Consider the following 14,083-nt stretch of genomic DNA (forward strand, 5'->3'; position numbering starts at 1 on the left):
CTTTGAAAAAAATTTAGACGAATGTATAACTAGAATAACCAATACAGAGAAGTGCTTAAAGGAGCTGATGGAGCTGAAAGCCAAGGCTCAAGAACTACATGAAGAATGCAGAAGCCTCAGGAGCTGATGCGATCAACTGGAAGAAAGGGTATCAGTGATGGAAGATGAAATGAATGAAATGAAACAAGAAGGGAAGTTTAGAGAAAAAAGAATAAAAAGAAATGAACAAAGCCTCCAAGAAATATGGGACTATGTGAAAAGACAAAATCTACGTCTGATTGTGTACCTGAAAGTGACGGGGAGGATGGAACCGAGTTGGAAAACACTCGGCACGATATTATCCAGGAGAATTTCCCCAATCTAGTATGGCAGGCCAACATTCAGATTCAGTAAATACAGAGAATGCCACAAAGATACTCCTCGAGAAGAGCAACTCCAAGACACATAATTGTCAGATTCACCAAAGTTGAAATGAAGGAAAAAATGGTAAGGGCAGCCAGAGAGAAAGGTCGGGTTACCCACAAAGGGAAGCCCATCAGACTAACAGCCGATCTCTCGGCAGAAACTCTACAAGCCAGAAGAGAGTGGGGGCCAATATTCAACAATCTTAAAGAAAAGAATTTTCAACCCAGAATCTCATATCCAGCCAAACTAAGCTTCATAAGTGAAGGAGAAATAAAATACTTTACAGACAAGCAAATGCTGAGAGATTTTGCCACCACCAGGCCTGCCCTAAAAGAGCTCCTGAAGGAAGCACTAAACATGGAAAGGCACAACCGGTACCAGCCACTGCAAAATCATGCCAAAACGTAAAGACCATCGAGGCTAGGAAGAAACTGCATCAACTAACGAGCAAAATAACCAGCTAACATCATAATGACAGGATCAAATTCACACATAACAATATTAACTTTAAATGTAAATGGACTAAATGCTCCAATTAAAAGACACAGACTGATGGGTCTTGACTGGGGATAAAGAGTCAAGACCCATCAGTGTGCTGTATTCAGGAAACCCATCTCACGTGCAGAGACACACATAGGCTCAAAATAAAAGGATGGAAGAAGATCTACCAAGCAAATGGAAAACAAAAAAAGGCAGGGGTTGCAATCCTAGTCTCTGATAAAACAGACTTTAAACCAACAAAGATCAAAAGAGACAAAGAAGGCCGTTACATAACGGTAAAGGGATCAATTCAACAAGAAGAGCTAACTATCCTAAATATAAATGCACCCAATACAGGAGCACCCAGATTCATAAAGCAAGTCCTGAGTGACCTACAAAGAGACTTGGACTCCCAAACAATAATAATGGGAGACTTTAACACCCCACTGTCAACATTAGACAGATCAACGAGACAGAAAGTTAACAAGGATACACAGGAATTGAACTCAGCTCTGCACCAAGCGGACCTAATACACATCTAAAGAACTCTCCACCCCAAATCAACAGAATATACATTTTTTTCAGCACCACACCACACCTATTCCAAAATTGACCACATAGTTGGAAGTAAAGCTCTCCTCAGCAAATGCAAAAGAACAGAAATTATAACAAACTGTCTCTCAGACCACAGTGCAATCAAACTAGAACTCAGGATTAAGAAACTTACTCAAAACTGCACAACTGCATGGAAACTGAACAACCTGCTCCTGAATGACTACTGGGTACATAACGAAATGAAGGCAGAAAAAAAGATGTTCTTTGAAACCAACGAGAACAAAGACACAACATACCAGAATCTCTGGGACACATTCAAAGCAGTGTGTAGAGGGAAATTTATAGCACTAAATGCCCACAAGAGAAAGCAGGAAAGATTCAAAATTGACACCCTAACATCACAATTAAAAGAACTAGAAAAGCAAGAGCAAACACATTCAAAAGCTAGCAGAAGGCAAGAAATAACTAAAATCAGAGCAGAACTGAAGGAAATAGAGACACAAAAAACCCTTCAAAAAATTAATGAATCCAGGAGCTGGTTATTTGAAAGGATCAACAAAATTGATAGACCACTAGCAAGACTAATAAAGAAGAAAAGAGAGAAAAATCAAATAGACACAAAAAAAATGATAAAGGGGATATCACCACCGATCCCACAGAAATAGAAACTACCATCAGAGAATACTACAAACACCTCTACGCAAATAAACTAGAAAATCTAGAAGAAATGGATAAATTCCTCGACACATACACCCTCCGAAGACTAAACCAGGAAGAAGTTGAATCTCTGAATAGACCAATAACAGGCTCTGAAATTGTGGGAATAATCAATAGCTTACCAACCAAAAAGAGTCCAGGACCAGATGGATTCACAGCCGAATTCTACCAGAGGTACAAGGAGGAACTGGTACCATTCCTTCTGAAACTATTCCAATCAATAGAAAAAGAGGGAATCCTCCCTAACTCATTTTATGAGGCCAGCATCATCCTGATACCAAAGCCGGGCAGAGACACAGCCAAAAAAGAGAATTTTAGACCAATATCCTTGATGAACATTGATGCAAAAATCCTCAATAAAATACTAGCAAACCGAATCCAGCAGCACATCAAAACCTTACTCACCATGATCAAGTGGACTTCATCCCTGGGATGCAAGGCTGGTTCAATATACGCAAATCAATAAATGTAATCCAGCATATAAACAGAACCAAAGACAAAAACCACATGATTATCTTAATAGATGCAGAAAAGGCCTTTGACAAAATTCAACAACCCTTCATGCTAAAAATTCTCAATAAATTAGGTATTGATGGGACGTATCTCAAAATAATAAGAGCTATCTATGACAAGCCCACAGCCAATATCATACTGAATGGGCAAAAACTGGAGGCATTCCCTTTGAAAACGGGCACAAGACAGGGATGCCCTCTCTCACCACCCCTATTCAACATAGTGTTGGAAGTTCTGGCCAGGGTAATTAGGCAGGAGAAGGAGATAAAGGGTATTCAATTAGGAAAAGAGGAAGTCAAATTGTCCCTGTTTGCAGATGACATGGTTGTATATCTAGAAAACCCCATTGTCTCAGCCAAAAATCTCCTTAAGCTGATAAGCAACTTCAGCAAAGTCTCAGGATACAAAATCAATGTACAAAAATCACAAGCATTCTTATACACCAATAACAGACAAACAGAGAGCCAAATCATGAGTGAACTCCCATGCACAATTGCTTCAAAGATAATAAAATACTTAGGAATCCAACTTACAAGGGACGTGAAGGACCTCTTCAAGGAGAACTACAAACCACTGCTCAATGAAATAAAAGAGGATACAAACAAATGGAAGAACATTCCATGCTCATGGGTAGGAAGAATCAATATCGTGAAAATGGCCATACTGCCCAAGGTAATTTATAGATTCAATGCCATCCCCATCAAGCTACCAATGACTTTCTTCACAGAATTGGAAAAAACTACTTTAAAGTTCATATGGAACCAAAAAAGAACCCACATCGTCAAGTCAATCCTAAGCCAAAAGAACAAAGCTGGAGGCATCACACTACCTGACTTCAAACTATACTACAAGGCTACAGTTACCAAAACAGAGATATAGATCAATGGAACAGAACAGAGCCCTCAGAAATAACGCTGCATATCTACAACTATCTGATCTTTGACAAACCTGAGAAAAACAAGCAATGGGGAAAGGATTCCCTATTTAATAAATGGTGTTGGGAAAACTGGCTAGCCATATGTAGAAAGCTGAAACTGGATCCCTTCCTTACACCTTATACAAAAATTAATTCAAGATGGAAACTTAAACGTTAGACCTAAAACCATAAAAACCCTAGAAGAAAACCTAGGCATTACCATTCAGGACATAGGCATGGGCAAGGACTTCATGTCTAAAACACCAAAAGCATTGGCAACAAAAGCCAAAATTGACAAATGGGATCTAATTAAACTAAAGAGCTTCTGCACAGCAAAAGAAACTACCATCAGAGTGAACAGGCAACCTACAAAATGGGAGAATATTTTCGCAACCTACTCATCTGACAAAGGGCTAATATCCAGAATCTACAATGAACTCAAACAAATTTACAAGAAAAAACAAACAACCCCATCAACAAGTGGGTGAAGGACATGAACAGACACTTCTCAAAAGAAACATTTATGCAGCCAAAAGACACATGAAAAAATGCTCAGCATCACTGGCCATCAGAGAAATGCAAATCAAAACCACAATGAGATACCATCTCACACCAGTTAGAATGGCAATCATTAAAAAGTCAGGAAACAACAGGTGCTGGAGAGGATGTGGAGAAATAGGAACACTTTTACACTGTTGGTGGGACTGTAAACTAGTTCAACCATTGTGGAAGTCAGTGTGGTGATTCCTCAGGGATCTAGAACTAGAAATATCATTTGATCCAGCCATCCCATTACTGGGTATATACCCAAAGGACTATAAATCATGCTGCTATAAAGACACATGCACATGTATGTTTATTGCGGCACTATTCACAATAGCAAAGACTTGGAACCAACCCAAATGTCCAACAATGATAGACTGGATTAAGAAAATGTGGCATATATACACCATGGAATACTATGCAGCCATAAAAAATGATGAGTTCATGTCCTTTGCAGGGACATGGATGAAATTGGAAATCATCATTCTCAGTAAACTATCACAAGGACAAAAAACCAAACACCACATGTTCTCACTCATAGATGGGAATTGAACAATGAGAACACATGGACACAGGAAGGGGAACATCACACTCTGGGGACTGTTGTGGGGTGGGGGTTGGGGGGAGGGAGAGCATTAGGAGATATACCTAATGCTAAAAGACGAGTTAATGGGTGCAGCACACCAGCATGGCACATGTATACATATGTAACTAACCTGCACATTGTGCACATGTACCCTAAAACTTAAAGTATAATAATAATAAAATAAAATAAAATAAAGAAATATCCAGGAAGATCAACCCACAGAACAAAGAAAGCTAATAAAGTACATTTTCTTGCAAAAAAAAAAAATTTTATTTTTCAATGTAATACATTAACAACAAAAAGGAAAAAAGTAACAAAAGGTCAAAGGAGAAAGCTAAGAGTTGACATAACCAAGAAGAAAGACCTGAATTCAAAAATGGCAGAAGACAGTAATAATATCACAAGGCTCCTGCTAATCAGGTGCTTTACTTATTATAATGATGACATATTTTCATGTGTTAAATGACATGAGTTTCAGGACAGTCAACAATGCAGGCGCTAGAACCAGGGCACCTGGGTTCAAAATTCTATCTCTGCCACATAACAGCTACATGACATTTTCAAGTTACTTCCTAGTGCTTCTGTTAAAAACGGGGATACTGATTATATAGATCAGAGGTAAACAACTATATTACCGTCAGGTTGCATTTGTTTAAGTCCTCTGTACTCACCAAGGGACTGCGTCCATAACTAAATATTAGCATTAGTATTAAAACAGCAAACAAACAGAGACAGTACTATTACCTACCTCAGGGTGTTATGAAGATTAAATAATACACGTAAAACCCTAAGGGTACTTCTTTGCCTATAGTAAATGCTCAATTTATGTCAACTATATTTTGCTTGTATCCATGATATAGGGTATTAACATTTATTTAAAATTGTATGCAAAAATTACCAGGCATGAACAACAAATTATCTTAGTTTTATTTCTGTGCTTTGGAGATGTATTCTAAACCTACCTATGCATCTATCTATGTACTGGTATAACAATTTTATTTGTATTTTGGTGGGAGAATTTGAGCTCCATGCAAAACTTAAATTTCATGCTTCACAAGCACTGTGAATCAAATATATATGTGTTAACTTACACAGGCTGAATATTCCAGAGTCCAAAACATTTAAATAGACATATCTGTACAATATTGAATTCTGTGCAAAAAACAATGACGACAACAAAAAACCTACCACTACTTGAATACCACCTGAAATAGTTAATAAATAAGACCATTGACTTTGGATTTTCTATTTTGCTTTTGCAGCATGCCTTAAAAGCAATTACTATTCCATTACTGTTCACACAAGAGAAAATTTACCAGCTTGTAATTTAGAGGCAAGCAGAGTAGACAGAAAAAAGGGAGCCACCCACAATGGTTTCCAAGAAGCAGCAACAGCCTAAATGTTTAAAAGATACAACATTCATTGCACCAAGCAATAATCCGAACATGTTTTCATGTCTATTCACGAGACAGAATCATCAGTGAAAAGTAGGTTGAGAGAGGAAGAATGATGGAAAAAGACAATAGGAAGAGGCAGAAGGGAGAACATCTTTAGGCCCAAATTGTTATTTCTGGTCCATTAAAATATCAACATCCAAATGAAAACTACTGGTCTCCAAAGAAAACTCTTATCAAAAACGAACCATAATTCAAATACTGTACACCCAGGGAGAATAAAGAAAACCTAACATTTATAGCCTAAGAAAATTGGCTGTAGTTTCATATATACATTTCTATAAAATTCTCACATTTTATCAGACCTATGGCATGACTCTTAATAGCTTTCAGAGGGAAAGAAATAAAATACAAGGGGCACATTTCAGGTAAAATGGTCTTTTAATGTTCCACCCAAGAAAATCTTCTAGGTTCCTTCACTTTAAAAAGAATTACCCTAAATAAAGTAAATGTACCAAGGGTAAAAGGTAAATCTCATGTTTCCTTTCAGGAAACATAAATAGAAGTACTATTTAGGGGGGAAAGGGCCAAACATTGTAAACTCGTATATCCTTCAGATTATGACTCCAATAAGCAGCAGGTAAAGAGGGAAAGCACACAAATACTTCTGAAAAAAAAGCAAGACAGAATTAATCCTCAAAACTCCTTTATCTGCCTAGTACACAAATAGCTGAATAGCACCCAACAAAAGATTCAAGCAAGGGGCTTCTTTAGTTCATTGCTTTCCAGAAACATCTTCTAGATGCAATCTCAGTCACTGACTCCTTTGATAACCCCTTAAGTGTCTGAGAGCCAGCCTGTCTTCCAGTCTTATTTCATTAACTTCAAAATTTCTAAAGTTTTTTTTTTTCTTGCTTGGAAAGTGCTATTTTTTTTTAGTATTTCAATTCAATTGATTTCCAGAGGTGAAACCAACTTCACCTGAAAAGCATCTGTTTTAAATTTAAGAAAGCTTTGAAGGTTTTCTGGTGAAAAACAGAAATCTGATCAATAGTGTTATTGAAAACATGACTAAAAATAAAGTCACATTTATCTGTAGTTGTGGCTTTTATTAAAGCAGCTTAAATCCTTTGCAAGTAAGCTTTTCCAGAGAGGGAGATGGATAGGATGCACAGGGAGGCAGGATTACCTGTGATCCACAGTGCAAAACCCCATCAATGCCACAGGAAGAAGAGGAGTAGCTGTTGAGATTTTTGAAACCTGAAAAACCCCACCACCTCCTTCTCCAATGAACAGGCCCATTTCTGTAGCTAAGATTCACACTAAACTTCATTTGCAAATGGATTTGGCTGTTAACATAAGAGTATTCAATGCAAATATTTCTTTCCTGGCAATGCAGATCAGTTGAAAGGAAAGGCTGAAAATTAGTTAGCTGTATGAGATGACAAAGCACCATTCCAGTTACCAGGGAGGAATAATTGAACACAGATTGCCTGTTGCGTCTTTAATTTAATTTGGAGACCTTTCATCCTTTGCTTTCCTTCATTTGCAGCCAATACTTACGGAGCTAATTTGTACGTGGTTCATTTTCCTCCTTTTATCTTATCCACTTTAACATCAACCATGGAAATTAGAAGCACCATGAATAAAAGATGAAACCTGACTTGGGGTATTCTTTCCTTAAGTACTGTGAATTACTGAAAAACTAATTGGTGTGCATGCACAATATAAAGGGCTGAGATATATGCCTCAGCCCTATAGCATTCCTAATCAGCATCTTTGCTTTCCCCCAAGGAGCTGTAGATTTTCAATGTTTTATCTGGTCCTACGTTTTCTCCAGAGAACAATGTCTAAACTATAATTTACACGGAATCATTAATCTGAGAACGGGTGTATGGTAGGCTGTCTCACAAATAAACCTACGGATTTCCAAATTCTGGAAAATGCACAAGACTAAGAATTCATAAATTCCACTAGCCTAATGATGGAATTCAATAATGTTTGCCATGCATGGAAAATGTTATAATAAAGAAAACTGAATGTATCAGCATACATATATGTCAAACAAAGGCCTAATCTGTCCAAAAACAATGCTGGTGGGGGAGTGGTAGAGAAAGGTACTAGTCATAAAATTACTGTCTGGGAGTGACCTCCAGGAGATAGAAAACTTAAATTCTAAGTATGTCATGCCTATTATGCTTAAAATGACAACAGAAACAATAAACCTGTTGTATTTTTTGTATATGTGGCACCTCACCATTAAAAAATGTTGCATATGCTCTTATTTTATTTTATTGCATTACTTCCAATTGTACAAAAGTTTAGTGTCTTGAAAGTTTTGCGTTTTTCCTTTATAATGTCCTCTCTGACAACACTATTTTTTTCTCCTTACCCTCTCCTCATTTTATATTTTCCCCCATATGGACTAATGAAAAACCTACTGGAATTTTCTCCTGATGCTTAATATCCCCCACCAACAAACCCTCCTTTCAGTTTGGGAAGCATCAAAGGAAGGCTGTGTCCTGAATCATTTCACTGCCTGCGTGTGCCAATTCTTCTAACACCTCACACCAAGAGGCTAGAAGCTCGGAATAAACTAAATCATTCCTCCTTCACAATCTAGCCTCCTACAGTGTTCATTAACAGTAATGTGCACTATTTTACTTCAACAAGACCACATATTGTCACAGACGAGGCAACTTCGAAGTTGTAGAAGAAAATAAAAAGACCTTGCGGTTTAAAAATTGTGGTGCATTGAAATGTACAGTCTTTGCTTCAGATGCAAGCCACTTTTTTCTTTTGGAGGGGGGAGCACTGATGCAGGATTAAAAGCCCAGTTAAAAACGTCAGATGGTATCTCTAATCTTGGGTTGAGTAAGGACCATACTATACAATGCCAAGCTTATTTATTCATTTGGAGAAACGTGGAAAGAAAGCCCTCTACAGTGAAAGGATGGAAAAGAAAAGATGAAGGACAATTACTGTGCCTTTTATTCATGAAAGAGAGGATGAATAGAAATGAAGGCGGCAATTACCTTTAAGAAAATTTTTTTAAAGCCACACAGAAAAATTAAACTGGAAGAGTACAGAATAGCTCTGCCCTGGGGTTAAGAAAGCAACCCAGAGATGAGGATGAAAGTGTGGGAAGCAGTTAGGGTATCTGATGACCAGACACACAGATTATTTTAGCAGTTCAGTGTCCAACTCACACATAGTATTTTCCCAATGTCCAGTTTACTTGGGAGAAGGGGAATTGAGGGGGAGTCTCTGAAGCAGGACGTCAAGAAATTTCAGGTGGAGGAAGGCAACAGTCTCACAGGGCGTCAAATCAATCAAGAAGATTTTCTTTGGCTGTAATTGCGTAGACAGAAGAAAACTGAGAAAACCCATGCCACTCAGTCTCATTTGCAGGCTACACACACACACACCGCAAGATACCAGCCTCAAGGAAGAACACCTGTTCTAACCCTGTGCCTGCCGGGGGCGGCGGGGGGGGGCGGTGCGCGCGTGGCCATCCCAGGGAACTCATGGGCCATCTCAACAGCAGGGAGCCCGGATGCACTCAGGACCTGGCTGCACCAGAAAGACGCAAAAGGCCCCGCCAAATGTGTCCTGGCTAACTCGCCAAAAAGAGGCCTTAGAGAAAGGTTGTGAAAAGGGATCAGGCAGCCCAGATGTTTACCTTGGGCTGCAAAAAAGACGTAACCACAGGGCAGAACAGTTTATTTTCCAGAAAGGGTTTTCTTGCAAAAAAAAAAAAAAAGTAATCTTGAGGGTCAGAAAAGACTTTTGTGAGGTGTGGGAAAGAGAGGAAGGACCTCCATAGAAGTCAGTGTTTCTTCTAACAACCATTTCCGTGCCAGTGGGCCGCAATAGTCAAATTTCTCTCTAGGCTATCTCCACCTTTCTCCCTATATGGTCCTAGACTGAGAATCACACCTGTAGGCACTGAAAAGCCTCGAGTAACACCTAGCCTACCCGTCCCCACCACCCCCACCCCTCCACCGCCACCCGCTACGGTGCAGGTCCCTCCCTGATCTCCTATCGCAGCCAGCGCCTGCAGGTCTAAGCTCCATCCTCAGGTCGTCAGGAGCCTGGCCCCTGGAAATCATTCCCGCGCCTCACACCTGTGCTATTCTCTTGACACAATCTCCACACAGAAAAGCCCCAGGGCAGACTCCCGCCCCTTAAGCCACAGTGATCCTCTCACACACAGCCCCTCCACCCCCACGGCCAGCGGAGGCTGCGGAGTGCCAGCAAGGAGCGGCTCCACTCGGTGCCCCGAATGCGCGCACGGAGAACTGAGAACTCAAAAGTGCACCCGGAGTGCAAGGGGCGTGTGACTGCAGCCCGGCCGGCCCGGAGGCCCACTCCCGCCCTCGCCCACCCAGCGGGGCAGGCTGGCCTTTACCTCCTGGAAGAGCTCCAGACTATAGGTGTTGTCGTCGTCAGCGAAGAAGAGCACGCCGGGCTGCGCGCGCTGGTGCTGGTGCCTCTGGCGCAGCCAGGCGAGGCCCGCGTTGCGCTGCTCAGTGGCGCGCGGCAGCCCGGGCCGCTTGTAGCGCCGCGGCGTGGGCACGTGCAGGTGAGTGCTGGGCAGCCCGGCCCGCGCCAGGAAGCGGCTCACCAGCTCGCTGCGCGCCGCCGCGTCCTCCACCAGGATCCAGTGCAGCTGCGCCACCTGGCGGAACGTGTTGGCCAGGCGGGTCAGCTCCGCTTTCTGCACCGGGCGGCTGTAGGTGGGCGTGATGGCATAGATGGTGGGCAGCTGCGGCTCCGGCTGTGGCTGCGGCCGAGACTGGTTGCGCTTTTGGGTCCCGTGAGCCGGGCCGCCCCTGCGGAGCGGGAGTCGGGCGCCCCCGCGGCCCACCGCGTAGGGAGAGAAGTAGGGGCGCGGGGTGAGCGGGGGCACTGGCCTGCGCGTGTCCACGTCGAGCATGATGATGACAATTAGGATCCAGGGCAGGAGGATAAAGAAGCGGGTGAAAAGCGCGGACTTCATGGTGCACGCTCCCTGGCCTCTCGGACACCCCAGAGAGGGGCGAGCCGAGGGACCCCAGTGCGCAGCTTGGACAGCGGCGGCGCCAGCACTTAGGGAGTGGTGATGGGTGCGCTGTCCATGGGGCCGAGGGCGCTGCAGAGACCTGGAGCCGCGGGGCTCACTACCTGGGCGTGGAGGAGCGGCAGGTTCGCGCAAGCTAGAGCGACAAGGGGTGCAGGCGGGCGGGCAGGGGCTGCCCCCGACTCCAGGTGAGCTGGCGGGAAGCGGGACTCGGTCCAGCCGCGCGCCGCCGGTCCCGGAGTTGTGCCGAGTGCGGGAAAGGCGCTGATCCCCACCGCGCTCTTTCTGAAGAGTGGAAGCCGAGAAGCGGCACCCGGTGCGCCTCGCCGCTCCAGTCCGGCGGTGCTGCGGGCACAAGGGCTCCAGCCGCGGGCCCCCAGGACGCTCTCTGGGACGCCTTCGAGGGCGGGCGGCGGCGCTGGGGGCTTTCCTTCCTCACATTCCCGCCGGGGTGGCGAGGAGCGGGTGGAGACGCTGGGGGTTGTGTCCCGGCTGTGTTCGCGCGCCGCAGCGGAAGCCTGCTCTCAGTCCCTTGCTCTTGTCTTCTCAGAACCTCTCCGGATCCAGCAGCAAGATCCCAAAGCAAGGAAAGAAAGAAAAAGCGAGGGGGCGGGGGCGCTGCAGAATCCAGCGTCCTCCCAAGTCCTCCTGTGGGAAGACAGCAGCGCTGCTACTGGTGGAGAGGGGCTGCGAGAGGGAGGCGCGGAGGGACCCCTTGGCTCTCCGCCGGGTCTGGCGCTAACGGCCCCGCGAGCAAGCTCGGGAGGCGGCCGCTGCACCGCGGGTGGAGGAGCGGGAGGAGCGTCCCCGCGGGGCTGCACGACCTCCTGGAGGGGGTGATGCTCGTTCACCTCTCTTCAGCTTTGTGAAATACCGCAAGGTCTTTGGAGATGAGCCAGGAAAATCCATTCACGTGCGGAAATTTGCCGGGCTACGCGCGTTGCTGCTGATGCCTAGGGTTCGGAGTGAAAGGAGGGGAGAAAGCGAAGGGATTCCTCCTCCTGCTCCCAGCTGCTGCGTTGATGTGCTGGGGTGTATCGAACAGCGGCAACAAAAAGCGCTTTCACTGCAAGGCAGACATCAATAGGAGCCCACGGAGATGGAGGGGTGCTGCACATAGGTGTTTGGCATGTGAGACAGTCCATAAGAAAGAATCAATTCGGAGGGCTGCTGCCTGACTGCAGTTTGATCATGGCGGGTGGGGGCGGGTGGAATTCCTAAAACTCCAGCCGAGCATGTTTAACTTATTTTTCTTCAGTAATTTGGAGTCACGGTCCCTCCCAGTTCTTCGCTGTCACCGGAATTACTCCGTTTGGCTCTCCCAAGGCTCCTGTCAAGAAGGCCTAAGAAGTAGAATGGCCTTCATTTTCAGGATAAGGAAGCTGAGGTTCAGGGTTTAAAATGATTTCTCTGAGGTCAGTGGCAAGTGGCATATGGAAATAGAACGTGGGTCTCCTGCGTGTGTCTATAGCTAGTGGCGTCCTCACTGCATGGCCTGCAGAAATCCCACCCAACACAGCCGGGCCGGTTTGGCCTTCCTACATATAAAGATGGTGCGATTGAAATCAAACAGAGTGTACCATGACGAATAGAACCATGATAGGGTCTGGAAGACCCCAAGTAAACAGTTGGCACTTAGTTTAGACACTTTTTGCTGTCTAGCTGGCCTACTAGCTGAGTGCCTGACCTTCTGTAACTTACCAGGAAGAAGGGCTGTGCTTCCCAGGCAGGTCCCAGGGAAGTGCTTGCAAAGCAGAAGGAAAGCTCCAGACTGTTCTGCCCTAGCCTATGATAAATAATTTCTGAGCCCATCTTGTCTGGGTTGTCTGCCTTTCTCGGGCTTGTTCACAAATAAATCTCTCTCCGACTGTGCGTTCTGGTGCAACTGAGAGCTCTGGGGCGAATGGCTCTCCAGCTTTTCTGACAGCTCCTCTTCTCCCAGTCCTACCCCTGAACCCCCCACCTGTTAAAAGGCATTGGCTCATCTGTGAATTTCCCTAACTTCCTCTTCAGATTCTGAAACGTGAGAGTGAAATTTCAGACTAACACCCAGCCACCCCAACAACTCCCTAGAGCTAGCCTTCTGTCCCAACTTCCCTGTGCCATCCACAACTCATACATTAAACTCTGCAGATTAGTGCATCCTAAACATAGAAAACAACGAAGCCATTAGACCTCTTCCCATTCTCTCGAATAGCCTAATGTGCCTCTGAATATAACACAACCTTGGAAATGTATTCTGCACCAGCATCATGCCAGGATGGGGAAGAGGAAAGAAGTCAAGGCCTCCCTTTAAGAAAAGGTTTTTCTTAGGAAGCAGTGCACCCCTCTCCCCTAAGTTACTGAAGTCTGGTTCATCCTGTTGGAAATTTTAAATTTGGTTAAAATGCCTTGTGTTTGCTGGAATAAAATTCATGTTGTTACTGAATTGTACTAAAAACATCACTAACCTTTGTTAGTGGGGAACTTTTGGTTGGTCCAACTATGCCATAAAACCTATTTGCTATTACATCCTCTCCAGGAACCAGGGCTATTCAGAGATGAAACACTGTGTGTGTGTGTGTGTGTGTGTGTGTGTGTGTGTGTCTGTGTGTGTGAGAGAGAGAGAGAGAGAGAAAGACAGACAGACAGGGTCTCTCTTCAATGCCAAGGCTGGGGTGCAGTGACTTGAACACAGCTCACTTCAGTCTCGATGTCCTGGGCTCAAGCAATCCTCCTGCCTCAGCTTTTTGAGTAGCAGGAACTACAGATATAAGCTGCTACACCCTGCTAATTTTTTCATTTTAGTTTTTGTAGACTGGGGTCTCCTATTACCCAAGATGGTCTTGAACTCCTGGGCTCAAGCAGTCCTTATGCCTTGGCCTCCCAAAGTGCTGGGATTACAGATGTAAGCCATTGTGCCTAGCCCAAAG

General features: G+C 44.2%; 2 protein-coding genes across 3 annotated transcripts in view, besides 4 other annotated features; one reads left to right on the forward strand and one right to left on the reverse strand.

The window, feature by feature from the left end:
• The window catches only part of B3GAT2 (beta-1,3-glucuronyltransferase 2), a 100,382-nt gene extending 88,640 nt beyond the window's left edge, over positions 1-11,742 (reverse strand). For both annotated transcript variants that reach the window (NM_080742.3, XM_047418209.1), the window contains exon 1: positions 10,521-11,742. In NM_080742.3, the coding sequence (NP_542780.1) occupies positions 10,521-11,111 (591 nt within the window). In that variant the 5' untranslated portion in view covers positions 11,112-11,742. The remainder of the gene's footprint in view (positions 1-10,520) is intronic.
• Positions 10,334-10,473: a silencer, noted in NCBI's record as "silent region_17324". NCBI's record gives its function as "represses an Ori minimal core promoter by ATAC-STARR-seq in GM12878 lymphoblastoid cells {active_cell/tissue: GM12878}" and the evidence as "EXISTENCE:reporter gene assay evidence [ECO:0000049][PMID:35858748]".
• Positions 10,944-11,073: a silencer, noted in NCBI's record as "silent region_17325". NCBI's record gives its function as "represses an Ori minimal core promoter by ATAC-STARR-seq in GM12878 lymphoblastoid cells {active_cell/tissue: GM12878}" and the evidence as "EXISTENCE:reporter gene assay evidence [ECO:0000049][PMID:35858748]".
• Positions 10,944-11,517: a biological region, named in NCBI's record as "H3K4me1 hESC enhancer GRCh37_chr6:71666023-71666538".
• Positions 11,002-11,517: an enhancer, noted in NCBI's record as "H3K4me1 hESC enhancer chr6:71666023-71666538 (GRCh37/hg19 assembly coordinates)". NCBI's record gives its function as "activates a minimal SCP1, AML or CMV promoter by ChIP-STARR-seq in primed H9 embryonic stem cells {active_cell/tissue: H9 hESC(primed)}" and the evidence as "EXISTENCE:reporter gene assay evidence [ECO:0000049][PMID:30033119]".
• On the forward strand, positions 11,110-13,599 carry LOC124901229 (uncharacterized). The gene is made up of 2 exons (XM_047419611.1): positions 11,110-11,210; positions 11,314-13,599. The coding sequence occupies exons 1-2, from the start codon at positions 11,110-11,112 to the stop codon at positions 12,038-12,040; spliced, it is 828 nt and encodes a 275-aa protein (XP_047275567.1). The 3' UTR covers positions 12,041-13,599.
• The last annotated feature ends 484 nt before the right edge of the window (positions 13,600-14,083 follow it).

Source organism: Homo sapiens, chromosome 6 (assembly GCF_000001405.40).
Source record: "Homo sapiens chromosome 6, GRCh38.p14 Primary Assembly".
Taxonomy (NCBI): Eukaryota; Metazoa; Chordata; class Mammalia; order Primates; family Hominidae; genus Homo; species Homo sapiens.

Bases quoted from the DNA above. Each gene is read 5' to 3' on its own strand.
- LOC124901229 (XM_047419611.1), top strand. From the start codon at position 11,110: ATGGTGCACGCTCCCTGGCCTCTCGGACACCCCAGAGAGGGGCGAGCC. The intron at 11,211-11,313 runs GTGATGGGTGCG...CGCAAGCTAGAG, and splicing joins GCGCCAGCACTTAGGGAGTG to CGACAAGGGGTGCAGGCGGG.